Genomic DNA, 27,606 nt, shown 5'->3' with positions numbered 1-27,606 from the left:
ACTTAATTTTAGAATTCATCTTCCAAATATATTTTACACAGATCATTCATTCATTCCACAGATTTTTTTACAGCATCGAAAAGAAGCCTGCTATACACACATCGGTACATTTTTATTATTTTAATTATTAACAGCATAAATGTTTTCATGCCAGTTTTCATAATCATTGTAATGATAATTGTCATGATTGTCTCTCCGTGGCGGGGAAGAATCTGGGTGCAGGGCTTGGGGATCCCTGCGGTCCGCGGCGTGCAAGTGCCACTCCCTGGGGTGCTCCCGGAATCCGCGAGCCACGGAACCTAAGAACGCCGACCCGCCGGAGCCGGAGGGCAGACGCTGGCACACCGGACGCGGGGACGCCAGAAGCGGCTGGACCCGGAAATAGGGGTTGTCGGTAGCCGCCCCGGGAACAAGGACCGGAGCTGGATCCGCGGTGCGGCTGTGGGTGAGCGGCGGGCTGCGGGACCCTCGCCCGGCGGCTCAGAAAGGCGGGAAGCGCACGCATTTTTCTGGCTTGTTTCCTGAACGTTGGCCGGCGGAGGACCCGCGAGCTCGGGAGAGCGCCCGGGCCGGGCTCTGCATTCTTGTTGCCTCTTCCCTGGCGGGGGTGATACTCTCCCGCGGGGCTTGCTGTGGGGGTTCAGGGAGGTGGAGATGGGCCCGCCATGTGCCTGCAGGGAGCAGGCGCTGTGGTTAATACTTTTCTTCTTCGAACCCTCCCACAGCTCTTTAGGGTGAGATCTGCTGTACCAGTCTCACAGGTAGGGAAACTGAGGCTCAGGGAAGCTGTGCAGCCACCGGGGCCCAGATCGGTGCGGTACACACCCAGGCAGCTTCCACTCGCCGCCCCCTAGGCCCTGGCTGGGTTTTGAGGGCACCCAGGTTCTCTGACCTGTTATCTGTAAATGAAGTAGGGTACTTTTGTGAACAAATTAGCTGGAATCCAGGGGCAATAATTTCTCGCAGAAGTGAAAGGTAAGATGTTCCTAGTCTTGCCTTTTTATCTTCTCACCTTTTGAAACAGGACCTGAGAGGCCAGCCTAACTTGGGCTTGATGGCCAGCCAGTCCTGGGATTCTTTTGCCAAGGTCACCTGACACTAGTGTGACTTGTTCTGAACCTCCATTTACTCACAGTTTTAAAAAATTACAACACCTGCCTTATGGGGTTGCTGGCGAGATTGAATAGTGTTGATAGCTATGGTGTGCCTACTACAAAGGAGGAGCTTAAGAAATGGTTGTTTCCCTCTTTTCCTGATTCTAGAAGCATTTGGTAAAGTTACTGAGGTGGTAAATCCTAGGAATTTTAATGCTATTCAGACCACTGCTAGGCCTACTCCCAGGCCACATCTGCTTGTTTCTTTTTTTGTTTGTTTTGTTGCAGGCAGAGTCTCACTCTGTCACCCAGGCTGGAGTGCAGTGGCGCGATCTCAGCTCACTGCAACCTCCGCCCCCGGGTTCAAGTGATTCTCCTGCCTCAGCCTCCTGAGTAGCTGGGATTACAGGCATGCGCCACCACGCCCAGCTAATTTTTGTATTTTTAGTAGAGACCAGGCTTCACCATGTTGGCCAGGCTGGTCTTGAACTGCTGACCTCGGGTGATCCACCTGCCTCAGCCTCGCAAAGTATTTGCTCACTGTCTATTTACCGTGAGAATGCACAAAGCAAAACCCGTGTTCTCCTGCTGCTTACTTACTTTCTAGGAGCTGTAAGACAAGAGCTGAATAAGTAGATGGAAGCTGTACCAAGTGTAGTGATGAGTGCTACAAGGAAGCAAAGCTGGGCTGCTGTTCCATCAGAGTGCTCACAGAGGCAGGACAGGATCAGGCTTGGGGCACGGGTTCTAGAACAACCAAGTCCAGCCACTGGAGCTCTGGTCTCTCTGACCCCACAGTCCCAGTCTAGGCCAATAAAATGGCAGCACCTATTAGCATCCCTGCCTAGGATGCTGGCAGGACTGCCTGGTCCCTGGTGTGTCCTCATTATGTCATACATAATTGCTGACTACTCTGTGGCATAGACATGAGAAAATCTGAGGAAACATTTTAGGACAAAATTTCCTACTTTGGAAGAGATGGGAAACTCAGACCCTCACAGAACAATGCCCCTCTGCTGCGAGTTTTCCCTTTTGGCCTCTGGCTTCCCAGGGTGAGAGAAGGGGAGTCCCTAAATCTCTTTTAAACCTCACTTCTGGGCCTCTGATTTTGGTAGAATCAAAACTTCCCCAGAACGGAGAGCAGAGGCCAGTCATAATCACCTTGGTTGTTCATTCATTCCCTCAGCAGGCATTTAGTGCATGCTGGGTGCCAGAAATATGGCAATGAACCTGACAATTGTGGGAGAGACAGACTGCTGACGCCAGATGCAGTCTTCAGGAGGGGAGGGGCAGGGGTCAGAGCAAGTAGACTAAGGGGGAAAAGTGGCCTAGGCCGAAGCCTGCTGGCGCACAGGGAGGAAAGGTGGGTGCGCAGCAGAGCCTTGGGAGATGCAGCTGGAGCTGTCATGGGCCAGAGAGCTCATCTGCAGACAGTGTCGTCATTCCACAAGGCCTCGGCTCTTTCACTGTGGGATGGTTGTACATTTAAGGGGAACATCCACTTACTTATTTTGAGGAAAAAAGCAAATTGTCATTTTATTTGGGACAGCTTTCTGGTCAAGATTACTGATTTCACTGTAGTCCTGTGATCTCTTAAGTGGGGAACAAGGTTGACAGCCCAAGGCCGACCTTGGACCTCTTCCCCTGCACAGCATGATGAGCAGCAGAAGCCCCTTTAGTGAGGGAGTTCCTTTGGCATCCTTTCTGAACAATGCCCTTTACAACCCTCCTTTATTTTTCTGGTTTTATTGTAAAGTCCCTTGTCTTAGTTCTTGTCCCTCAGTCACCTGTGTCCAGGCGCTAAATGTAAAAGGTGCAAAAGGGAATGTGGTGAGGAGGCACCCCCAGCCCTGACCTCCAGGCCCTAACACCCACTCCAGGTGATTGCTTGGACTGTTTGTTTTGCGTTCCATCCAGACATATCGCCTCTTCATAATCAAGTGCACACGTGTGCACACATATGTGTGATCACAGATGGCAGTGCTCTCTACACACCGTTACATGCCCAGCTTTCTTAGCATGATTTATTTCAGTGATCTGATCCACGTTAGTATGTACCAAGCAGATGCTTTCCTTTGTAATGCTGCCAGGTGCTCTACTGTAGAGAATGCCATGCTTTTTTTTTTTTTTTTTTTTTTTGGAGATGGAGTCTCACTCTGTCGCCCAGGCTGGAGTGCAGTGGCGCAATCTCGGCTCACTGCAAGCTCCGCTTCCCGGGTTCACACCATTCTCCTGCCTCAGCCTCCCGAGTAGCTGGGACTACAGGCGCCTGCCACCATGCCCAGCTAATTTTTAGTATTTTTAGTAGAGACGGGGTTTCACCACGTTAGTCAGGATGGTCTTGATCTCCTGACCTCGTGATCTGCCCACCTTGGCCTCCCAAAGTGCTGGGATTACAGGCGTGAGCCACCGCGCCCGGCCAGAGAATGCCATGCTTTTATTTAACCACCTCCCTGTTGACAGACACCAGCTTGTTTCTAACCTTTTATCATGATTGATAATGCTGCAGAGAACTCCCCAGTGATGTGGTTCATCACAGGCACCACCGTGCCCAGCCTGAGGCCACTCCAGCGCTGCCCTGTCCTACCTCCTGGGGACTCAGAGTCCACATGGACAGTCTTGTCAGGGCCCACCACTGACTCCTGTGAGTCTCCCCAGGTGACTTCACTCTCTACCTGTCTCACAGCCCTTGCCCTCCCTGGGTCAGCATGCCACCACCCAGGCCCCTCTGTAATTCCTGTTTGAGCCTCCCACCCTCTGGGAGTTGCTTCTTTGACTCCCACTTCCTGCTCTTGTGCCTCACTTCCTGGACCCCACAGAGCACACCCTCTGTGGACCCTCCCCAACCCTCACCTCCCTCTTCACCCAACTCAGAGTCAGGTTCTGTCCTTGTAATCTCTCCCCTCGAACCCTGACCCACTCCCTCTCCCTCCTACTCACCTGGACTCTCCCATCTAACTAAATCCAGTGCTTCCTCTGCTGTGGGCCTGCCCGCAGCATCACCACCTGTCCTCCCTCAGTGGACAGCCGTACCATGCCTCCTCCTCCACCAAGAGAAGTGCAGCCTTGTGGCAGCTCTGCATCGCCTGGATGCTGACCGGCTGCCTCTCTTGCCCCTCACCCTCCCAAGGCCATCACTGCAGCAGTTCCTTCCCCTCCGGCACGCAGCTTCTCTTTTCCTTCTCGCCAGAGCAGTCCCATCAGCGGAGAACATGCTGGCACAGCCACCATCCTGAAACAAGAGGGGACAGTGCACCAGCCTTCTCCCATCTCCCAGGTTTTGTTGAGCTCACCCCATGCAGCTTTCATCTGTCACTCACCACATGGCCCCATCAGGATTACCCAGGGCTCTGTTTGCCAGACCCTACAGTCAGGTCTCAGCTGCCATCTCGCCTGGCCTGTCAGTGTCCCCCACATGGTGATAACTGCCCTGAAGTGCTCTTTCCTGTGGCTTTCAGGACCTTACCCCTCCTGACTCACCCTGCTAGCTCCTCATCTCCCGACCCCCAGCCTGGGCTCCTTCCACATTGCTGCCACCTCCTCCAGGCCACCCAGGCTGTCCAATGGGCAGGTCCCGTTTAACACACCTGAAGTCCCACATCAGACTGCCAGTCCCTTCCTGTCATGCCTAAGCCAAAGCCATGGGTTGTTCCTTTTGCTTTTTTGTAAAGATGAGGTCTCATTGTGTTAATCAGGCTCTTCTCAAACTCCTGGCCTCAAGTGGTCCTCTTGCCTTCGCCTCCCAAAGCACTAGGATTATAGGTGTGAGCCCATGGCAGGTGTGAGCCCATGCCCAGCTCTGCCTCAGGTCATTCTTGACTCACCTTCCCCTCCCCCTCCCATGTCCCGCCATCCCAGGTCTGCCTGGATTCTGACTTCCCTCGCATCCTCCACCACTGCTACCCAGGGCCCATTCATCCTCTTCTATGTGGCAGCCAGAGAGGTCCCTTTAACACTTGAAGTCAGATTATCCCACACCTATGCAAACCCTCTGCTGCCTCCCAGCACCCCTAGAGCAGACCCACATTCTACACCCCTGCTCCCTCCCTCAGCCCCATGAGCCCCCCTGCCCAGCCATATCCTCCCCAAGGACCTCACCTTCCCTGCTCCTTCTGCCTGGACTCTTCTCCCAGGTGTCACCCAGCCCTGCCCTGTCCCTCCCCTGCTCCCATACTACAGCATGAGTTCTGGGAGGGCAGGACCTGGTGTTGCTTTGTGCTGTATTCCCTGCATCCTGGACTAGGCCAAGCATGCAGTAGGTACTCAATAAATAACTGGACTATTAAGTTCATTCCAAGGAGTGGAATTGCTGGGATGTGCACTCGGACTTTGAGAGGGATCCCTGAATTGCTGCACATAGAGGTTGTTCCCATTTAACTTCCCCATGCCCTCATCTGCTGTGTGTGCAACGACTTTGAGTCTCTCCCTATGTGATAAGCACAAGCTCATTGTAGTTCTGAGTTTCTTCTGCGAGTGTTGTTGGACATGATGTGATACCACAAAGGTACTTACGTGGTGGTTTTCCCTTTTTTTTTTTTTTTTTTTTTTGTTTGAGATGGAGTCTCACTCTGTTGTACAAGCTGGAGTGCAATAGCATGATCTCGGCTCACTGCAACCTCCACTTCCTGAGTTCGAGCGATTCTCATGCCTCAGCCTCCCAAGCAGCTGGGATTATAGGCACCCACCACCACACCCAGCTAATTTTTGTATTTTTATTAGAGATGGGGTTTTGCCATGTTGGCCAGGCTGGTCTTGAACTCCTGACCTCAAGTGGTCCACCCACCTCAGCCTCCCAAAGTGCTGGGATACAGGCGTGAGCCACTGTGCCCATCTAGGTGGTAGTTTTTCTTTATGCTGAGATTATTTTATTTTGCTTTTACTTTTTTTGAGACAGGGTCTTGCTGTCACCTAGGCTGGAGTGAAGTGGCTGTTCTATCCACAGGTGCAGTCATGGCACACAACAGCCTTGAATTCCTGGCCTCAAGCAAGCGATCCTCTTGCCTCAGCCTCCTGAGTGGCTGACACTATAGGCATGTGCTACCACACCTGGCTTGTGAGATTTATTTTAAAAGCACATGTTTTTCCTAATATTTTCTGGTTTCATTGTTTCTACTCAAACCTTTGCTAGATCTGGAATCGGTTTTAGTGGGATTTAGGAAGCAGGAGTCTAACTTTATTTTTTTTCACAGCAGATTTCCCAGTTGTCTCAATACGAGTCTTTTTTTTCTTTTTTAATACGGTGCTATGTTTATAAACATCAGTGCTACATTTATAATGACTGAAAAAACAAAAAGGGTTCATGTGGTTTTCTTTTACTTGGCTAGCAGGTATTGAATGTCATGTGTCAGGCACAGAAAGCTGTTGCAAAGACCAACAGTGATTCAGACACAAAGCCCATCGTGTCCTATTTTGGGGGTGAAGTAGTCGCTGATGATGGCATGATGTGAGTGGGTTGGAATGGAGACCTAGCCCAAGAGCTGTGGGCACAGGAGGGCTGACTTACCCTGCCAGTGGTGTTGGGAGACTTGAGCTGGGCCTGTGGGCCATCCAGCTGCATCCTCCAGGCCTGGCGGAGCTTTCTCTCAGGCAGGGAAGCGCAGGCACAGAGGCTTCAAGTGCGTGTTTGCTTCGATGATGATATTTGATTTAATTTGGCCAGAGCATGACCTGCAAAGCAAAAGGTGGAGTGGAATAGGTGGGAGATAGATGTGACAGAGTCCTGATGTCTGCTTGGGGCTGGACCGACTAGCCAGAGGGTCTCAGGCCCATCATGGATCAGAAGGACCTGGGGGGCCCAGCCTGGGCATCTGCATTTTGTAAAGTGTCCTGGGGCGTCCAAGTGCTTTGCTGAGCGGGAGGTGCTGCTCTCGGCCACGATAGTTCCTCTTTCCAGGTGAGTCCACCTGTAGGTGGAAGAGCCAGTCCAGAGAGGAGGGCCAGGCATCCACCTGGCCTGACCCATCACTCCAGATCCCCAGGCCCCAGCATCTTCCTAGCATGGATTTAGGAATAAAATTGACCTGAGATCACTGGGGCCACTTCACCTTCCCCCAAATGGAGCCACATTCCCAGGATCATCTCAGCCACTTCAGCTGACCTGGTAGTTTTTTCTTGTTTTTAATCTCAGATGTCTTCAAGTTTCCCTAATTCCCTAATTTTTCTTCTTCTTGCCTCAGGTTGGTCTTGTTTTTTCTTTGTTAAAGTGATTTTCCTTGTAGTGGTGTAGGTTCTATTGACAGCATTGCTATCCTGAGTGTCTTTTCTTCTCTTTAGGAGTCAGCATTGGTAATAGTGCTGTGCTGCGGAAGAGTGGAGTCTAAACTTTTTCATTGCCAGTGCCCCGAAACTGGAGTGTGAAGGACCGAGACAAAATGAAGACTGTGCTCATGGTTGCTGAAAAGCCGTCCTTGGCACAGTCAATTGCCAAAATCCTCTCTAGAGGTAGGAGAGACCAGCCCTGCTTTGGTCTGTAAGCACGGTCGTTTATGTGTTACAGGACATTTTTTCCTAATGTGATTCCACCCTGGCTGGGGTAGATTTGGTTCGGGTCGGCAGGTGGTAATGAAGCATCTCAGTATGTCACAGTGGGGTGCATTTGCTTCCACTCCTGGCAATGTGCCAAAGCTGGGGTTCCCATAAGGCACAAGGCACAATTTACAATGAAATTGAAGGACAGTCATTATCCATATGCTGGGCCTGGTGGGGCTATTAGGTACAGGTAGTAGAAACCAGCCCTGGAAGGAAGGAGACGCAGCCAGGACTACACCCCAGTCAAGGTCTGATGAGGCTATGCCCCAGGCATTGTCACCCCTGGATACTCCCACTGTCCTGTGGACCTCACGTCACTCCAGAGTAGCCAATGGACTGAGCTATGGCCACAGGCACTACTGAGACACCAGGGAGCTCGAGAGGGAATGTCTGCCACTCACCCCCAACTCTGGCCACTGGGGTGGTTGGTAGGGTGCTGTTTCCCCCTATCTTTGAATTCCCTCCAAATAGGAAGAGTTTTAGATGCTGGGTACCCAGAAATGACAGGCACCTACCTGGCCTCCCCTTGGTCCAGCAGTTGAGAGGGGAAGAGACCCTCGTTCAGCTGAGAAGGCATGGTCCGCAGGGGACGGTGCCCCAAAAGTGGTGCCCGGTGCCCAGAAGCTGAGAAAGTACAGCTGAGTATGGTCAGTGGAGAGGGTGAGAATTCGATAATTAGAAGGTCCCTGGTAACCGAGAGTAGATCTGGAGTCTGTTTTAGTAAACGATGAATAACGTTTCAATGAAGTGAGGCAAAAATGGAATTGAAGAGTGAAAACATAAATACAGAGAAAGAGCCCACCCCTGCCTGCTCCTGGCTCCCGGCAGCCTGGGGCTCTGCATCGAGAGTGCTCTGTGCTAGGTTGTTGGCAGATGCTGTTTTCCCTGAGCGCCGTCCCACCTCTCAGTGCCCAACTACCCGCACCAGTCTGCGGAATGTCGTCACTCACCACTCTGGGGAAGGAGGACTCTGGCCCTCTGGGAGGTGGCATCCGGGCTGGGGTCTCCACAGGGTCTTCAGCTCAGCTGAAGCAGCCAGTCACTTTGTGCTTCCTCATCCCCAGGGAGCCTGTCCTCACACAAAGGGCTGAACGGGGCCTGCTCAGTCCACGAGTACACTGGGACCTTTGCTGGCCAGCCAGTGCGCTTCAAGATGACGTCTGTCTGTGGTCACGTGATGACCCTGGATTTCCTGGGTAAGCCCCTCTACCCTCCATCCTACTGAAGGGAGTTCTGCATGGCACTGGCCAGGGTCCAGTTGAAGCCAGGAGATGCCTCTAGGCAGGGAAGTTTGTCCCAACTCCATGAGTCATAAGGCCAGCAGATCATGAAGTAGCAATGAGAGGGTCCCTGGTGCGGTGCCCAGAACCCAGGCTCTGGAACTCAGCCCTGGGTCCCCATCATAGCGGCACCCCTTAGTCGCTGCATTCCCTGTGTGCCTTCCTATGTAGACAAAGTGGCAGCACCTATCTTAGGAAGGGCTTGACCTGTGCAGGCATTTAAGAGAAGGCTGCTGCTGTTGCCAAGTTGACCGTCATCTGTCGGTCATTTGGTGGCTGTCGTTGTCATTCCTATATTGTTACTGTTATCAATTACCTTGGAAGCGCCAGTATTAGTGACCTGCTGGGTGTAGGTTTGGGGCCATGTGGTTGGCAAGAGTCTGATCCAGGCTTTTCCCCCTGCTCTGCCGGCTCACTGGCTGGGGATGTGGGCAATGACGGCCTCTGAGTTTACACTTCTCATAGTGAAATGGGTCTCACAGCAATGCCATCTGCTTCCCAAGGCTAAGGATTCAGTGTGACAGTGAGGGCAAAGCACTCAGCACAGGGCCCGACACACAGCAAAGCCTCAGCCCTTGTTCTTGCTGCTCATTGATGACAGTGATGACAATGATGGTGACTGAGTTGTGTGGCTGAGCATTTGGACCCCAAGTTTTATCTCCAACTGGCAGGTGGGGAGCCGGGATTTGAATTTGGCTCTGTCTGACCCCATTCTCCCAGGATGCAAGAAATGGGGCCTGGGGAGGATCGCTTGAGCCCAGGAGTTCAAGACTAGTCTGGACAACATAGTGAGACCCCTGTCTCTACAAAAAAAAAAAAAAACAAAATTCTTTTTAAATCAGCTGGCATGGTGGTGCGCACCTGTAGTCTTGGGAGGCTGAGGTGGGAAGATGGACTGAGGCTGGGAGGTCGAGACTGCAGTTAGCCGTGATCGTATCACTGTACTTCATCCTGGGTGATAGAGCGAGACCCCTGTCTCAGAAAAAAAAAGAAATGGGGCCTAAAAGAAAGCCAGACAGCTGAGCATGCAAGAACCGGGTCTCTGTAGATGAGTAGGTGAATGTGCTGGGCATGAGGCTCAAAAAGATGGTCCTTTAACAGGAACGACTGCACACATGTGTGCCCCCACAGAGTGCTGGGTGGAAGGACAAAGTTCCAGAAACTCAGGTTGGAAGTGTCAATGAAGGCACCATTGTGGGGTCCAGTGCTCAGGCAAAGAGACCCAGCCCAGGAATGGTGCTCCCAGCCACAGGGAAAGTCCCGGAAGTGAGGCCAGAGTGGCAGCCCCCCGAGAGCTTGCTTGGCTCCTGTGGTTGGCCGGGGTGTGGTGGGTCCGCTCAGCAGCCGAGCAGAAAGGAGGCTGGATGGGAGGGGGTTACCAAAGGCCTGAACCCACATCCTGGCTCTGCCTCTGATCATCAGGATGACCCTGGGCAAATTGTTCTCCAAGCTTTCCCCTCCTCATTTGTGGGATGAGGCCAACATCCTCCTGGGGTTATGATGGTCTCGGAGGCTGAGCTCCTGTGACTCAATGTCACTGTGACTGGTTTGTAGGAAAATACAACAAATGGGACAAAGTGGACCCCGCAGAACTGTTCAGCCAAGCTCCCACGGAGAAGAAAGAAGCTAACCCCAAGCTGAACATGGTGAAGTTCCTGCAGGTGCGTGGGGCTGGCCTGGGCATGAGCACACCGGGGCTCCCCACCCTCCACAGCTGCCATGTCTTTGCCCACCCTTGCTTGAGTCCTAATCCCCCTTGGACAGGGGGGCCTTTGCTAGCTTTTTCTGTGAGTGCCCCCTGCTGGCCCACGAGGCACCTGCAGGCACCCCCAACACACAAGGCAGTTGCCATTGCCAACCCTCAGTCCTGGAGAGCAGGCCTTCTGCTTTTAAAATAGCTTGTTTGGTCGGGGGGTTTTTCTCCTTAATTTTAAAACAAATGCATACAGATTATGGAAAATTAGAAAGTGCAGATAAGTAGAAAGACAGAAAAATTATGCATAATCATATTACCCAAGACGACTGCTGTTATCATTTAGGGTTATTTCATTTTAACCCTTCTTCTGGGCAGTTTTGGGGTATAAGATCATGTTGCATTTATACTTTTTTTTTTGGTCCAAAAAACATCAATTATAAACTCAATTCTTTTCTGTTGGCTGAGCCAGCCTCAACACAGCCAGCTCCTTACCCAGCCCAGGTACCAGTCCTCCTAACTGAGGTTCAGGGCCTGGGACCAAGCCCTGTCCTGGATGGGAGCACTGGGGGCGGGTGGCACAGACCGGGTCTGCAGCAGGTACGTGTGAACCTGTGCTGTGTGGCAGGTGGAGGGCAGAGGCTGCGACTACATCGTGCTGTGGCTGGACTGCGACAAGGAGGGGGAGAACATCTGCTTTGAGGTGAGTGTGAGGCTCACTTTGTTCCTCACTTTTGGCCTTTCTGACACCAGCCCCAAACTGACACCAGCAGTCAGTCACATCACTCCTGGGGCCAAAGGAGGGAGTAAACTGTACCGGTTTAAAAACACCTCTCCCCTCCCTTTATTCTGAAACTCCACAGATACTTTTAACTGCATAGGCTCTATTAAAGGTGGTCAGTTGTTCCTCCGCTTGCTGAGGCCTCAACGGTATGAGTGAACATAGGAGGGGCCAAATTGTCTGGGTGGATGCAGGTTTCAGAATGGGATTGTCTTGGGGCAGCTTGGTGTTCAGCATCTTGTGCCCAGCGTGACTTCTCAGGGACCTTGGGTTGATGCTGGTTGATTCCCGACCTCAGCACTGAGCTCCTTTTGCAGGCCTCGCTCTGCTCATCTCCTGCCTCATCCAGGATGCCTCCTGCCTCCAGCCAACCCTGGGAGCCCTGCAGAGAAGCAGGTGGCAGCTGCTCCCTGTGCACACCCCATGCCCCATGCTTGCCCCGGCCATGGTGCCCTCACAGTGGCCATGACTGCTGGTCTCACTTGGTGCCCTTCAGACTGTTGTTCTATGGGTCGCCCCCGTGCTCCTGTACCCCCAGCTCTCACCCGTGGCTCAAGAGCTGGTCAGTGAGACAGAGCTGAGGCACCTGGCGTTGCAGTACAGCACCCTCAGCAAATGCGATCACACTCTGTCTCTTCCCAGATACCCTCTCCTCCCCTGCAGGGCGGCTCCTCCCTGGGGGCCTTTGCATCTGGGAATGGAGAATGGGGGCAGCTCATGGGGCTTTCTCCCTTCAGAAATGAAGCCACTTATTCCCAGTAAGGAAGCTGCGTGGCCAGGCTCCGGCGGCGACCCTAGTCCCACTGCACGGCCTTCCTAGTGAGTCTCGGCTCCAGGACCCCTGCTGTGCTTTAGCCCGAGCTGCCCCCACCACAAGCTAGGACCACCCGTGGCCTTCCTGCTCTTGCCCATTTCCTTTCCCCTTCATTCTTTTTTCCTTCCCTGTCTTTTCTTCAGCCTCTTAAAATTTCCACCCACCCCTCCAAACCCTCCCTCCTAGAAGGCAGGGAATCGTGTCACATGGGATGGGTTTGGGGACTAAGAGGTCCCTCATGTACTTGGCAGTAGCATTTCCTGATTTGGTGGGGATGAAAGCAGAGGATTAGAAGAGAGGGCGGGAGTAAGAAGGGAGTGTTCGAGTATGTTTCTAGATGGGAGTAAAGGAAGCCATGTGGTGGGGTGTTGTGGAGTGCTCAGGGCTTCTGGAAAGGCAGGGGGATAGAGGAGGGTCTGGCAGGTGCAGGAAAGGGGATAGAGGAGGGTCTGGCAGGGGCAGGAGAGGGAGCCGAGCACACGTGTTCTTTCCTGGAAGGAACCAGGCTTCACAGTGGGGTGGGGAGCTGTGGCAGGGATCTGGGAGGTGGGTCACAGCTGGCCACTCCCCACCCCCAGGTTCTTGATGCTGTTCTGCCCGTCATGAACAAGGCCCATGGTGGCGAGAAGACCGTGTTCCGGGCCAGGTTTAGCTCCATCACGGACACAGACATCTGTAATGCCATGGCCTGCCTAGGCGAGCCTGACCACAACGAGGCGCTCTCAGTGGATGCTCGCCAGGAGCTGGACCTGCGAATCGGCTGTGCATTCACCAGGTGCTGGCCACACCCGCAGAGTCCTGGGCACACCCTCACTCTCCCTCAGCCAGAGACCTGCCTCTACTGGTCCCCCTCCGGGGCCCCTAGGCCTCCTCGAGCCAGGATGAGCAACAGGGGATTTCACCAACCCTGAAGAAGGCCAGGCACAGTGGCTAACACCTGTAATCCCTGCACTTTGGGAGACCAGGATAGGAGGATTGCTTGAGGTTGGCAGTTTGAGACCAGCCTGGGCAGCATAACAAGACCCCATCTCTACAAAAAAAAAAAAAAAAAAAATTATTTTTTTGAGACAGAGTCTTGTTCTGTTGCCTAGGCTGGAATGCAGTGGTACAATCTCAGCTCACTGCAACCTCTGCCTCCCAGGCTCAAGAGATCCTCCTACCTGAGCCTTCCACTACAGGTGCTACAGGTGTGCACCACTATGCCTGGCTAATTTTTATGCATTTTGTAGAGACAGGGTTTTACTGTATTGCCCAGGCTGGTCTCAAACTCCTGAGCTCAAGCAATCTGCCCACCTTGGCTTCCCAAAGTGCTGGGATTACACATGTGAGCCACTGCGCCCAGGCTAAACAAAAATTTATTTATTTTTTTGTTTGTTTGTTTTTTGAGACAGAGTCTTACTCTGTCATCCAGGCTGGAGTGCAGTGGCACAATCTCAGCTCACTGCAACCTCTGCCTCCTGGGTTCAAGTGATTCTCATGCCTCAGCCTCCCAACTAGCTGGGATTACAGGCTCCTGCCACCACTCCCGGCTAATTTTTATACTTTTAGTAGAGACGGGGTTTCACCATGTTGGCCAGGCTGGTCTCGAACTCCTGACCTCAGGTGATCCGCCCACCTCAGCTTCCCAAAATGCTGGGATTACAGGTATGAGCCACTGTGCCTGTCCAAACATTTTGTTTTAATTAGCTGGGTGTGGTGGTGTGAGCCTGTAGTCCCAGTTACTTGGGAGGCTGAGGTGGGAGGATCACTTGAGCCCAGGAGTTCAAGGCTGCAATGATCTGTGAATCCCCATTAATGCACTCCTGCTGGGCAATACAGCAAGACCCTGTCTCTACAAAAACAAAAGAGACCTAAAGAAAATTGTTTATTTAGCTGACAGAGATCACATATGCCCTGCTTGATAAAGTGTGTTTGTCTGTGCTCTGGGGGTCCTGAGGAGAGTGTGCAGTAGATGGAATAGAATAGAAGGCTCCCTGGCCTGAGACAGTAGAAACCTCTGTCTCCTCTCTCACTGGCTCTGTCACCCATGTACACACATGAATCCTCCCTAAGGCTATGCCCACTCTGCTCCCACTGGCTTCTAAGTGGGGACACCACCTGATGCCACCTCCTTCATGCACCACCCCTGGCCTTGGGCTGGACTCACATGGGTGGCCATAATAGTGTCTTGAGTGAATCAGTGACCAAAATATCTTTCCACTCCCTCCAGGTTTCAGACTAAATATTTCCAGGGGAAATACGGTGATTTAGACAGCTCTCTCATCTCCTTTGGGCCGTGTCAGACTCCAACCCTGGGATTCTGTGTGGAGAGACATGATAAAATCCAGTCCTTCAAACCAGAGACCTACTGGGTGCTGCAGGCCAAGGTTCCTTGCCTTTCTCTATTCATGCTGGGGCTTTCTGGGTTTGGGGCATGGATTCTGAGAGTCTTCCATCATCATCAGCCGGCAGGCCCCGGGCTGAGGGCAGAAGTGTGGACGGCTGTACCTGGAAGTGGTCTGTGGTGCCTAGGGCTGAGGGACCCCAGCCTTCATGGGGGCAGTGGGAAGAGACTGGGCCTGTATATGCTGAATCTGGATAAGTGGGAATGAGTTCAGCTCTGGCAGTGCAGGGTGAGGTCACCCCACAGGAATCAGTGGCTTCAGTGGTCAGGTCCAAGCACTGGACTGAGACCATTGGCTTTCAAACTTTTTAAAATTCCTAGAACCCTTTCTTCAAATAAAAGCCTCCACAGAAGCTCACTGTAAGACTTAATACAGCTAGGCACAGTGACTGATGTCTGTAATCCCAACAACCTGGGAGGCTGAGGCAAGAGGATTGCTTGAGGCCAGGAGTCCAAGGCTACAGTGAGCTACGATCGTGCCACTGCACTCCAGCCTAGCAACACAGTGAGACACTGTCTTGGAGCTGCTGTGGCTGACACGGGGCTTGGGACCCTGGCGGTGGCCATACCTACCACTGGCCAGGCACTGGGGATAGGCAGGGGTGGTGTGAGAAGTAGGGGCTCAGGTGCTTCTTAGGGACACATCAGCCTCAGCTTTGGGCCACCTTCCTGAGACTGGCTGCCTGGTTTTGGGGCAAGTGGTGGAGAGGGCCAGATGTCAGCTTGCGTATCTGCCCACCTGAACAGGTACAGCTGTGAGCCATTACAGCCAGGGCTATTTGGCTCCCAGACAAGGACCAGCTTCATCTGTCCTGGTTCTTCCTGGCGTTGGGCTCACCTGGAGACTTTTTCTTGTGCGTTCACCCTTTATCCTTTTTCCTGCAGGTTAACACTGACAAAGACAGATCTCTCCTTTTGGACTGGGACCGAGTAAGAGTGTTTGACCGGGAGATCGCACAGATGTTTTTAAACATGACAAAGCTGGAGAAGGAAGCCCAGGTGTGCCTGCTCCACCCACATCTATCACAGTTGCCTTGGGTGAGGGTGGCCCTTGGATGCCTCCCGCTGGAGGAACAGCCTGTGATCCTAGTCCACGTCTTTCTCCCCCTTTCTGAAACACAGACATCTTTTTGGAAAGCTGAATGGTTACTCCCTCATATACTCCTAAGATATTTCTGCCCAGTGCAATAGTCACAGTGTACTGCATGCCCGCTCCATACCAGGCACTGTCCACACCTGTGACCTTGTCGGACCCCTTCCACTCTCCCCTTTCCACGTGACCCGCTAGGCATTACCTCCGTGTGGCAGGACTCCATTTCACACAGAGATTCAAACTAACAACTGTAGAGGGACCTTGGTGCACACTGATGAACTTGCCCAAGGTCACAGCTAGCAGGGGAAAGTCTTGAGATTCCAATTGCAATCAGCTTGCGTGCTTTTATGGGATTATGTTTCTTACTCAGGGCTTCTATGAATTGAAAGGACATGCTGCTTGGCTGTTAGGAAAACGGTGAGGTGACCTGGCTGCATGGGTTGGGGACACATCTGTGGCTATTGAAGTAAACATGCTACAGGCATGACAGCTACCAGATCCGTCGAGACACAGCCTGGCCTCCTTAGCCGCCTTCTCCTTGTCCTTCTCTGGCCTTCCTTGAGTGCCCTGTTGCCCGCCATGCTATCGTCTCAGGCATCTGAAACTTCTAAAGCTGCTCCAGGCTGTCAGCATTGATCACATTCCTGCAGAGACACTGTTGCCACCTCCAGGCCTCACGCTGGGGAGCCCAGCTTCACATAACAACTGGCCTCTGTTAGCACCCACATCTGTCTGTCTGGAATGCAGAAGGCACTGCCCTGACCAGCCTACGTGGGATTGGCAAGGGCCAGGGCCTGGGGTTGAGTTGTTTGGATTGTTTTTGCCATAGGCAAAACAAAGAGTTGTCTCTTCCGACAAGTGTTCAGCAGAGGTAGAGAGTGGCAGGACCCCAACAAAGCACAGCTCATAGATGCACTCCACTAACCTGCATGGTGTTTACACAAATTCCAGAATAGTTACCAGCACTTAAAAATTACGAGATTTCATACTAAAATTCTGCCTTCTAGCTTCTCTTGAAAAATCAGAAGAGGTAGCAATACTAGCAGGTGCAGGCAGCAGCCCTCCCCACAACAAGGAGTGGTACTTCCCCTGGGACGGGCCCCACTTGCCATCCCTGTAGCTTGGCTGATGCTGGCTTCTGTAGGATTTCCATCTGCAGCCCTTCTGACTCCTCCTCAATCTTCCAGGTTTTCTCTTTCCCTAGAAAATTCTCCAGAAAAGAATATTCAATCACTTGAGGCCAGGAGTTTGAGACCAGCCTGGACAACACAGGGAGACCCTGTCTCTGAAAAAAATAATTTAAAAAGTAGACGGGCATGGTGGCACGTGCCTGTAATCCTAGCACTTTGAGAAGCTGAGGCGAGAGGATTACTTGAGGCCAGGAGTTCATTTAAGACTAGCCTGGGCAACATAGCAAGACCCTGTCTGTACAAGAAATTGAAAAAAAAAATTGGTCAGACATGATGGTGTGTGCCTGTGGTTTCAGCTACACAGGAGGCTGAGGCAGGAGGATCACTTGTCCCAGGAGTTCAGGGCTACAGTAAGCTCTGATGGTGCCACTGCACTCCAGCCTGGGCGACAGAGCAGGACCCTGTCTCTTAAAAAAAACAAAATTTGGTTTTTTGTTTGTTTGTTTGTTTGTTTTGAGATGGAGTCTTGCTCTGTCACCCAGGCTGGATTACAATGGCGTGGTCTCAGCTCACTGCAACCTTCACCTCCCAGGTTCAAGCAATTCTGCCTCAGCGTCACGAGTAGCTTGGATTACAGGCACGTTCCACCATGCCCAGCTAATGTTTGTATTTTTAGTAGAGACGGGGTTTCACCATCTTGGTCAAGCTGGTCTCGAACTCCTGACCTCAGGTGATCCACCCGCCTCAGCCTCCCAAAGTACTGGGATTACAGGCGTGAGCCACCACACCCAGCCAAAATTTTTTTTTAAAAAAGAATTTTCATTCTTTTTCCTTTCCTGGTCCTGAATAAATATTCAATCAAGTCTTTAGACTGTTGGGAAGAATGAATTGGAGAAACAGGGAGACCAGATGAATGAAACCAGACCCTTCGTCCACACATCTTGATTCCCTCTATGGTGGTGTCTTCCTCCTTCCCCAAATCATTGACTGTCCTGTCTTCCAGGTGGAGGCCACAAGCAGGAAAGAAAAGGCCAAGCAGAGGCCCCTGGCCCTGAACACTGTGGAGATGCTGCGTGTGGCCAGCTCTTCTCTGGGTATGTAGGGACATTTCTCTCAAGTCACCAGAAGGCTTCCTGAGGCAGGTTCAGCCTGGAGCAGCGAGTGCCCAGGGTTGCAGGATGGTGCCCAAGGCTTCAAGGGGATCTGAGCCTCAGGAGGATTTCACTTATCCTTAGGTTGTAAAGGTGGTAAAGTTGGTCACCACCTGAGGGGACCTCCTGATGTTAGAGTCCCTGAGCAGCTATCCCTGGTGAGGGGAGAGGCCCCAGCCAGATGTCACCTTCAGGGAACCAGTGTGAACGTCGCCCCTCAGCCTCATCTCCTCAGTCTTTTCTCCTTAGTAACGAGGAGGGGGTTGGGCTGGAAAGCTGGTGGTCTCTGGCAGCTGTCAGCCCCTAGGCATTGGTGCCCCCCACCCCCGCAGGGAACTATGGGCAGTGTCCTCTCAGTGGACACTGAGTGGTGGCTCCAGCGTCCTCAGAGGGCAGCAATGCTGGGAGTGGTTGCTAGCTAAGCGCCTGCCTCTGCTGGTCAGGGAGTAGCAGGACGAGCCCCCCTGAGTGGCCCCAAAGTGCTGTGAGGACAGAAACACCCAAGGGCTCAAAATGGGGCTGCGTGCTAACTCTGTCGTCAGCCAACCCCGAGGTATGGTTATGGCTCCATGGACAATGCATGGGGAGTGGTGCTCTGAAGGCCATGTGTCATCCCCATGGCCATGAGCCCCATGAGGATGCACCGTGGGGTAGAGTGAGTGGCGTTTCCCATCAGGCCCATCCTGGGTGTAGGATTCAGCCTTACGGGTGCGGGATTCAGCCTCATACAAGACTGTGTGGCATAGGTGCCCACCCGGCCAGCAGCTTTGCACTCCAGCTGTGCCTGCTCAGAGCCACCGTCACCCTCCAGGAGGGGCCGGCCACAATGGGGGAGCCTGAGTGCATAGGCCAGGGCAGGCAGCTGGCCATCCCCACGTACCTGGCCCTCTGAGAACCTCCTGTCTCTCGCAGGCATGGGGCCGCAGCACGCCATGCAGACGGCTGAGCGGCTCTACACGCAAGGCTACATCAGCTACCCACGGACAGAGACCACCCACTACCCTGAGAACTTTGACCTGAAGGGCTCTCTGCGGCAGCAGGCCAACCACCCCTACTGGGCCGACACGGTGAGTGGAGCCGGGCCGGCCTCAGCATGTGTGTGTGTCACTGAGGCCTTGGGACCAGGTCTGGTACGTCAGCCAAACCCAGGCAGGCAGCCGAGCCCAGCCACAGACTCTGCTCTGTCTTCTCTCCCTCAGGTGAAGCGGTTGTTAGCAGAAGGTATCAACCGCCCGCGGAAAGGCCATGACGCCGGCGACCATCCCCCCATCACCCCCATGAAGTCTGCCACAGAGGCCGAATTAGGTACCGCTCTCATCCCATACCCGGTGTGCTTCCAGGGAGGGAAGGGCGAGCTGCGACAGTGAAGGTTGCAGGCCCTGTTGGCAATGTGGGGGCTCCTTCAGCCTCTGCCTGCCCTGGCTGTGGGGATGGGGGGCCACCTGGAAGATGAGCTCCATTGCTATGGGACCAGGACAGGAGTGAAGAGGTAGCAGCAGGTGCTGTTGCAGGGAGGCAAGGGGGCAGACGCCACAGGGGACATGAATGAAACCAGGGTAGAGAGTGGCGGTGTGGGGGAGGGGGCAGCACACCTCCTACCTCCCAGCTGGCCTAAGGTGGTACCAGTGGTCCGAGTGCCAGGAGAAGGCAAATGAGGAAGGGAGAGCAGTGCAGGTAGAGACAGGAGCCACCTGTGGACAGTCTGAGTTTGAAGCAATGGTGTCATGTCACGAGACAATGGAAAGACAGGCCAATGCCTGAAGAGCAGTCCCGCCAGAAGCAGGGACAGGAGGTTGTGCAGGATGGTGGGAGCCGCAGCCAGAAAGAAACCACTGAGGCATGGAGGCTTGTGTTCCCTTCCTCCGCATTTGCTTTTTTTTTTTCTTTTTTTGAGACAGAGTCTTGTTCTGTCACCCAGGCTGGAGTGCAGTGGCCCGATCTCGGCTCACTGCAACCTCTGCCTCCCAGGTTCAAGCAGTTCACCCTGCCTCAGCCCCCCGAGTAGCTGGGATTACAGGCTCCCACCACCACACCCAGCTAATTTCTTTGTATTTTTAGTAGAGACGGGGTTTCACCATGTTGGCCAGGCTGGTCTCAAACTCCTGACCTCAAGTGATCCATCCACCTTAGCCTCCCAGAGTGCTAGGATTACAGGCATGAGCCACCACGCCCGGCCTTCCTGCACATTTTCTTTCCTCCTTCCCCAGGATTTGCAGTGTGTCCTGCACAGCGGCTCTGTAAGCAGGAGCTTGCTGCTCGAGCGAGAGTACTGGGGGCTCCTCACGGCCAGAGCCCCCAGCTGGCTCCCAACTGACTAGCCCTGGCCTGTTGCAGGGGGTGACGCGTGGCGGCTCTATGAGTACATCACCAGACACTTCATCGCCACGGTCAGCCATGACTGCAAGTACCTGCAGAGCACCATCTCCTTCAGAATTGGGCCCGAGCTCTTCACCTGCTCCGGGAAGACCGTCCTCTCACCAGGTCACACCACGGGCCCAGCCTTCCTCCTCTGTGCCTTCATGGGCAGACAAACATTCTACATCGTGTCTGGGGATGGGAGGCCCAGGGTCTGAGGCCCCGGCCACCCAGGCTGGGGACCCTGAGTGGCGGCGCATATCTCTCCAGGCTTCACGGAGGTCATGCCCTGGCAGAGCGTGCCCCTGGAGGAGAGCCTGCCCACTTGCCAGCGGGGTGATGCCTTCCCTGTGGGCGAGGTGAAGATGCTGGAGAAGCAGACGAACCCACCCGACTACCTGACGGAGGCCGAGCTCATCACGCTCATGGAGAAGCATGGCATCGGTGGGTGCGCCTGCCCAGGCCCCAGAGCCGGCTCCGTCTCCAGTACTCAGGCTTCGAGTCTACTCACAAAGCTGCCCCGCCAGCCCTGTGTGCCCAGCCCAGCACCCCTCCATGGGCTGGTATCTGGAAACTGGTGACCCAGTGTGTGGCCAGCCAGGCAGGTCCACAGCGGGCATCCCCTCCTGAGGCCTCCATTCAGGACCTGGCCTTCCCTGTGAAGGCCCAGATGTGCCCTCGTGCACTGTGGGGTGTGCACACACCGACTAACGCCCACAAGGCTGAAGATTGGCCCAGATGCCAGGTGACTCATAGAAATCATATTGGCAGTCCCCTGAGTCCACACAGCCAGCCTGGGCTGTCCTGAAATCAGGTGACAGGGAAATGAGATCTCACAGGAGCTGCTTCCCTGGGAGAGAACAGAAATGCCTGTCCCAGGCACAGGGCTCCCCAAAGGGTGACCAGGAAGTTTCCACGCAAAAATGGGCAGCCCAGGGAGTTTATCAAAGCAAAAGTGTAGTCACCAGTGCACACTCCTCACAGGAGTGGTGGCCTCACAAGTCCCCAGGCCTGGAGCTGTGAGATGTCTCACATGTTGGGGGCCAGCCTCACTGCCGGAGCCTTCTCCCCAGGTGGCACTCGCGCCGCTGGGCACTGCCTGTTCCCTGGGGCACTACCCCTGGCTGACAGGCTCTGGAGACCTGTGGGATGTCACAGCCACTGTGTCCAGGCTCTGCTCCAGCAGTGGTCATATAGGTGGACTCTCAGGGAGTGTCTCTTCCCAGGCTGGGGTCCTGGTGACCATGGCGATCTTGGCAGGAGAGCAGAGCTCTGGGCTTGCTCCTCTCAGGGGTCCAGGGCACCTGCCAGGGTCCTGAAATAGCCCTCAGCCCACTGTGGAGTGTGGGCTCTGCTCCCCCGTGTCCTCTGCCCTCTCGCATTGATGGGACACTGGCTCCTGGCAGCCCTATGCTAGCCAGTGAGCCAGACCCAATCACCAATACAAGTTTGTGACAGTGAAGAGGGCTCTGGTGTTACCTTCTGAACAGGAGAGTGGTCAGGGTGGCCCTGTGACTGAGCCCCCAGGAGTGTGTCAAAAGGGCCTGACCAGAGCCGCCACAGAGGAGCCCACACCACGCGTCATGGCGCCCGGCAGACTCGGGGTGGTAGTGGCACACGCCACCCACAGCCTGCCACACCGGGTGCAGAGCTGGCCTCGTGCCAAGAGCCATGGGCCCTCGGCAGGCTCCTTAGCCCCCAGAGGCCAGTTTCTTCCCATGTGAGATTCTCTCCGAGCTACTTTGGGAAGGTGTGTGTCACCTGTCCATGCTGGTGAGCATGCAGGGAGCCCCAGCCTCCTTTCTGCCCCTCTGACTGGCACCCGCCATAGTCAAAACGCCTCAGCCTCCGCTGCGCCCCTCTGCCAGGAAACTTCCTCTGGGTGGGAGAGTGGAATCCTGGGGACTGGGAGCCTCCCCTGGGGATCGTGACGGGCCTTGCAGAGAGGGAGGAGGTGGGAGACAGGAAGTGGACAGAATTGTCCAGGTTTAGGGGAGGGCAGCTCTGCAGTGAGCTTGTAAGCACCTCCGTGTTCTGGTGGAGTGGGGCTCTGGCTCCGGGAGCAGGTGGGTGCCACAGGACCCAGGCAGGAGAAGCCATAGAAGTCACATTTTCCAGGCGCAGAATAAGCACTGTGACCTTGGAGAGTTCCTTAACCTCCGAGCCTGTTGTCTCTGCCATAAAGCAGGAGTAGGCGCCCTGTACAGGGAGGGCTGCCCTTGTGTTCTCAAGGCAGAACATGAAATGCATGCAGTTGGTGCCCAGCACAGTGCAGGGGGAGCTCAGGGCACAGCCCTCCCTCCTGTGACCGGGAGCAGTGAGAGGGCCTGAGCACCAGGGGCCCCGTGACAGGTGATACAGCACATGGTTCAGTGGGGCATGTCCAAGGCAGGCCAGGAACCCTGGGGCCTTGTACATTGCAGGCACGGATGCCAGCATCCCTGTGCATATCAACAACATCTGCCAGCGCAACTATGTCACGGTGGAGAGCGGGCGCCGGCTCAAGCCCACCAACCTCGGCATCGTCCTGGTGCACGGCTACTATAAGATTGGTGAGTTCCTCAGTCCTGCCCCCAGGGCCCACCGAGGCTCCCTGGCTTCTCCCTGGATGTTGGCTCTGCTGCCCGCTCCAGACAGGCCCCTGCCCTACAGTGATCCCCCAGCCCCACACACACTCCCTCAACACCCGCTGAAGGGGTGCTGCCCCAGGACCCCCAGGACCTGCCCAGAGCAGGAGCTCAGTGTGTTTGAAGGCTGAACAGATGTGTGAGGGAACCAAAAAGGGAGGCGAAGTTGCCTCAGCCCTGTTCCCTGGAGGTTCCCCAGGGGCCAAGGGGAGAGGGAGGAGCACAAAACTGGCCCAAGGGCGGCCTGGAGCTCATGTGTGATGTGGTTCTAGCCACAGGACATCCCTGGCCACTCTGCCTGACATTTCCAGGTGGGAAATCAGGAAAGGTCTGGGGTCATAAGAGCCAGCCTGGTACCATCTGAGGCTGTGGACTGGTGGGTAGGGCAGAGGCCAGGAGGACGGGCCAGAGCGGGAGGGGTGAACAGGGCAGTATCCCTGCCTGGGAAGGGGTGGCATGGCCCTGGGTGCGAGTGCTCAGGGCAATATCTGCCCCCTGCCCACTTGCAGATGCAGAGCTGGTGCTCCCCACCATCCGCAGTGCAGTGGAGAAGCAGCTGAACCTGATCGCCCAGGGCAAGGCCGACTACCGCCAGGTCCTGGGCCACACCCTGGACGTGTTCAAGAGGAAGTTCCACTACTTTGTCGACTCCATTGCTGGTAGAGTCTGCCTCTGGCCTGCCCCTCACCAGAGGGGTGTCTCTCTGTCAGCAAGGCCAGTACCTGGGGACCCAGGTCCCCACGTGGGACCAGCTCCCAGATCTGGGCTTCAGGCCTCCGTAGGCCAGGTCAGTGACACCTCCTGGCTGGGTTGAAAGAGCAGGTGCATTAACACCACACATGGCCAGGAACACGTGCCTCTGACGCACAGGGCTGCTGCCCTGCCGTGCTGCCAGGACAGTAGAAACCACCGCCTATAGGGACCCTTTCACACTCAGACCCTTGACCACGTGTTGCGGAGCCTTTTGCTGGGGACTGGGAGGGAGATGACTCCTGCACTCTGCTTGCCCGCAGGCATGGATGAGTTGATGGAGGTGTCTTTCTCGCCCCTGGCGGCCACAGGCAAGCCCCTCTCACGCTGTGGGAAGTGCCACCGCTTCATGAAGTACATCCAGGTAGGTGCAGGGAACACTAGCTCAGGCAAGCTGCCTCACCCCTGTAGGCCTCAGCTTTATCGTTGATCAGCAGGAATCATGTTCTTTGTCCTGGTTGTCACAAAAGAATGATGGAACATAAAGAGGCCTTGCCAAAAAATACCCAGTGTCCCCACGTCCCCTAGAATACACAGCCATTAGGCCACGCAAACACACATGGTGCATTTTTCCCTAACACCATGCCACTTGCCATCATGGGCATTAATGTACACACAGAGATTTTAGAACTGCCTTTTCTGCACGCGTGGAGCAAGAGCCAGAGACTCATGCTCCTTGCCTGGCAGTGTGTCACAGGTTCTGCATGACAGATTACATACTTTGTATTATGAGAGGAGTGGGGGTGGGTGCCAAGTCGGTGGCCCCAGTGACCCTCACGCCACCTGCCTGGCATTGCCGCAGGCCAAGCCAAGCCGCCTGCACTGCTCCCACTGCGATGAGACCTACACGCTCCCCCAGAACGGCACCATCAAGCTCTACAAGGAGCTCCGCTGCCCTCTGGATGACTTCGAGCTGGTCCTGTGGTCATCAGGCTCTCGGGGCAAGAGCTACCCGCTGTGCCCCTACTGCTACAACCACCCACCCTTCCGAGACATGAAGAAAGGTGAGTGCAGCCACTCCCTCCTGTCCACAGGTAGCTGCAGTCTCTTTTCAGTGCCAACCCCTGCCTTGCACCAGGCTGGACTCTGAGGGGACCCCTCACCCTGGCCTTTCCTGCACTCATTGGCACTGAGACGAGAGACCCTGGATGTAGCTGGGGCACTGCTTAGGCCTCAGCCAGTGGTGCCACCCTCTCTCTGTGTCAGAATCGAGCAGGCAACCCTAGTCCACCCTCAGGACCTGGGCACAGGTGTGCAGTGCTCCCTCTGGAGCTGAGTGAGCAAGAGGATGCAGCAGTCGGGGGACCCACCCGGTGAGCGGGCACCCCCAGTCAGCGTCCACCACCGTCCTCCATCCTCATCCTCGTCCTCATTACTGGAGGAGGGAGCGCATGTCCAGGCAGGCAGGACAGAGCACCGAGCCAGACCAGGAATCAGCGGGAGTGAGGCATCTGCCCACATTCACCGTGTGCTCTGCAGAAAGCTCCCTCAGGCCTCAGTCTGCACCCAGGCTGCCCCGGGAGTGAGACCCCATCCCTGCCCTCCTGCTGCCGCCAGAGTAGCTGACAGGGTGGTTCCATGTGGCCCAGTGACATGAGGGTCATGTGGCATTACCAGTAACAAGCTGGCAGCAAAGCAAAGGGGGGATGGAGTCAGCTGAAACCCACTGGGATGGTGCCAGCGAGGGGCCTTGAAAGTTGAGGAGGTTTCAGGTAAGCAGAAAACAGGGGTAATGGCAGCCAGGAGCCGAAACATGAGCAAGGCTGTCCCCAAGAGCAAGGCCAAGAAGAGTTCCTTCTGCTGGGACGAGGGATCCAGGAGCTTGAGGCATTGGGAGCAGGCAGCAGAGGGCAGGTGGGCACAGTGGGCGTGCCTTTACAGGGCTCCCTTCTCCCGCCAGGCATGGGCTGCAACGAGTGTACGCACCCCTCCTGCCAGCACTCGCTGAGCATGCTGGGCATCGGCCAGTGCGTGGAATGTGAGAGCGGGGTGCTGGTGCTGGACCCCACCTCGGGCCCCAAGTGGAAGGTGGCCTGCAACAAGTGCAACGTGGTAGCGCACTGCTTCGAGAACGCCCACCGCGTGCGGGTGTCCGCCGACACCTGCAGTGTCTGTGAGGCCGCCTTGCTTGATGTGGACTTCAACAAGGCCAAGTCCCCACTCCCGGGCGATGAGACGCAGCACATGGGCTGCGTCTTTTGTGACCCCGTCTTCCAGGAGCTGGTGGAGCTGAAGCATGCGGCCTCCTGCCACCCCATGCACCGCGGTGGACCAGGGAGAAGGCAGGGTCGAGGGCGGGGCCGGGCCAGGAGGCCCCCTGGGAAGCCCAACCCCAGACGGCCCAAGGACAAGATGTCAGCCCTGGCCGCCTACTTTGTATGATGACCCTGTCCTCCCTCACCCAGGCTGCAGTGCCATGCAGACACCTCATGGCACTTCAAACTATTAAAATGCATTTTATCTTATCCAGAGCTGGGGCCCCTTTGCTGGTGCAGCGATGTCAGAGCGTTACCGTGTCCCTGGGCACCTGTGGGGCCCTCTCTCCCTCTCCGAAACCCAATACGTCTCCCTTCAGCCTGCATACACGTGCCCAGAGTGCTCCCTGCTATCCCTACACCCTGGCAGTACGGGCAGGGATGCCCCAACCCTGAAGCCCTGGGGAATAGACCCAGTTTGCACTCACACCCCATCTCAATCCGTGCTGCTGATGGTAGCTGTGTGCACAAGCAGTGGCCCTGATGCCTTAAGGAAGGCGGCCTTGACAGCTGTGGCTCCGGCAGGAGAGGAGTCTAGTGGAGCAGGTGGGGCTGGGAGACCCCCTCCCCGGATCTGGCTTATGAATCCCCTTGGTCTTCGCTGCAGCCCCCTGCTCAGGGCCACGCTCTTGACCCCACACTTCTCCGTCCCCTGCTCCCTGCTCCCATCTCTGAGAAGCCCTGTACATGGTGCCCGTGTGCGTCTGGCAGCTTCCCAGGACCTGCTGCAATTCCCATTCTCACAACAAGCCCTTATGGTCTTAGAGGCAGCTGGGTGCCCCATGGAACCCATTCACATGCCAGGTTTAGAAAATACCCTGTAGGCCAGACTGCCGTGTGGTGCCAGGTGCTGGTGGCAGCTGCCCTCTGACCTCAGTGCCTTCTTGTGCTCCCCTCCCCAGCCACCCGAGGAGAGACACCTGTGCGGGATCCACTGTGTGTTGGAAACTCCCTCCACACTCCGCCCGTGCCTCATTGAGTGATGACGGGAGCTCAGCAAAACAGCTTTCCAGACTGTTCAGTGGGACCTTTCTTTGAGGGGCAGGTCAGGAATGTTTCGGACTCAGACCCGCCCCCGCCCCAACTCAGTAGTAGATTCCCAGGCTGCACCAGGACTTATATGAGAGCTCCTGTAAGGAAACCCAGAGCCCACCAAGCATACCCCCCCTGGACCCCCTTCCTGGAGGCCCTCACAGGTTAACACGGGGGTTCCCTGGAACACAGTTTGGAGAGCTACTCGAAGCTGAATGAAAATACAGAGACATGGGGAACCACATAGAGGGTCCTGGGATGTGTCTCAGAAGCACAGGCTTCAGGAAGGAGGGGGTGCTCTCAGAGCTTCTGCCCCCTCCCACCCACTCTGGTCCCATTCTGGGGCCCTAGCAAGGCCACACCTGTTAGGTCCCCAGTGCGGGGCTGTGACTCTGCTCTTCCACCCACAGGGCCCAGTGGACCTGGAGCCTTCTCCGCAGAAGGTTTCAAGACCTCCAGGACCCTTAGGTTATAGGGCTCATTCAGGCTTGGAGGAGCAGAGACGGTTCCTAGGTCTTAAACCCAGACCACCCAGTCCTTCCTTACTATGCTTCTGCACTGCGCTTTCAGCCACAGGCAGGGCTAATCACAAAGTGTTCCTTTATTTTCCTCTGCAGTTGTCCCTTGTGTGTGACCCTCC

At 55.1% G+C, this 27,606-nt stretch overlaps 1 protein-coding gene across 10 annotated transcripts, besides 5 other annotated features; it reads left to right on the top strand.

The window, feature by feature from the left end:
* Window positions 1-987: an enhancer, noted in NCBI's record as "H3K27ac-H3K4me1 hESC enhancer chr22:22336585-22337571 (GRCh37/hg19 assembly coordinates)". NCBI's record gives its function as "activates a minimal SCP1, AML or CMV promoter by ChIP-STARR-seq in naive H9 embryonic stem cells {active_cell/tissue: H9 hESC(naive)}" and the evidence as "EXISTENCE:reporter gene assay evidence [ECO:0000049][PMID:30033119]".
* Window positions 209-503: an enhancer, noted in NCBI's record as "tiled region #76; HepG2 Activating DNase unmatched - State 1:Tss, and K562 Activating DNase unmatched - State 1:Tss". NCBI's record gives its function as "activates a minimal TATA promoter and a strong SV40 promoter by Sharpr-MPRA in HepG2 and K562 cells {active_cell/tissue: HepG2 | K562}" and the evidence as "EXISTENCE:reporter gene assay evidence [ECO:0000049][PMID:27701403]".
* Window positions 388-26,150, top strand: TOP3B (DNA topoisomerase III beta). 10 transcript variants are annotated; one of them, NM_001349850.2, is made up of 20 exons: window positions 388-445; window positions 726-761; window positions 7,368-7,535; window positions 8,687-8,818; window positions 10,457-10,563; window positions 11,224-11,298; window positions 12,114-12,195; window positions 12,769-12,965; window positions 14,400-14,556; window positions 15,459-15,572; window positions 17,800-17,890; window positions 18,860-19,014; window positions 19,147-19,252; window positions 20,282-20,428; window positions 20,573-20,746; window positions 22,726-22,854; window positions 23,439-23,588; window positions 23,943-24,043; window positions 24,482-24,683; window positions 25,580-26,150. In NM_001349850.2, exons 8-20 carry the CDS (start codon window positions 12,793-12,795, stop codon window positions 26,059-26,061), a joined length of 2,181 nt encoding a protein of 726 aa, NP_001336779.1. In that variant the 5' UTR covers window positions 388-445; window positions 726-761; window positions 7,368-7,535; window positions 8,687-8,818; window positions 10,457-10,563; window positions 11,224-11,298; window positions 12,114-12,195; window positions 12,769-12,792; the 3' UTR covers window positions 26,062-26,150. The 10 variants fall into 10 exon arrangements, 9 of the variants coding, with proteins under 9 accessions (NP_001336779.1, NP_001336777.1, NP_001336776.1 ...); NM_001349848.2 differs by lacking the exon at window positions 726-761; NM_001349847.2 differs by lacking the exons at window positions 726-761; window positions 12,114-12,195 and adding an exon at window positions 6,988-7,194.
* Window positions 4,438-4,607: an enhancer, noted in NCBI's record as "experimental_63111 CRE fragment used in MPRA reporter constructs". NCBI's record gives its function as "activates a minimal promoter by MPRAs in K562 erythroleukemia cells, with activity observed for both the introgressed and non-introgressed 22:22333025 variant alleles {active_cell/tissue: K562}" and the evidence as "EXISTENCE:reporter gene assay evidence [ECO:0000049][PMID:34662402]".
* Window positions 17,865-18,364: an enhancer, noted in NCBI's record as "H3K4me1 hESC enhancer chr22:22319183-22319682 (GRCh37/hg19 assembly coordinates)". NCBI's record gives its function as "activates a minimal SCP1, AML or CMV promoter by ChIP-STARR-seq in naive H9 embryonic stem cells {active_cell/tissue: H9 hESC(naive)}" and the evidence as "EXISTENCE:reporter gene assay evidence [ECO:0000049][PMID:30033119]".
* Window positions 18,365-18,866: an enhancer, noted in NCBI's record as "H3K4me1 hESC enhancer chr22:22318681-22319182 (GRCh37/hg19 assembly coordinates)". NCBI's record gives its function as "activates a minimal SCP1, AML or CMV promoter by ChIP-STARR-seq in naive H9 embryonic stem cells {active_cell/tissue: H9 hESC(naive)}" and the evidence as "EXISTENCE:reporter gene assay evidence [ECO:0000049][PMID:30033119]".
* Window positions 26,151-27,606: the final 1,456 nt, after the last annotated feature.

Source organism: Homo sapiens, chromosome 22 (assembly GCF_000001405.40).
Source record: "Homo sapiens chromosome 22, GRCh38.p14 Primary Assembly".
Taxonomy (NCBI): Eukaryota; Metazoa; Chordata; class Mammalia; order Primates; family Hominidae; genus Homo; species Homo sapiens.
Note: the sequence above shows the minus strand (reverse complement) of the source record. Positions and strands in the feature narration are given on the sequence as shown.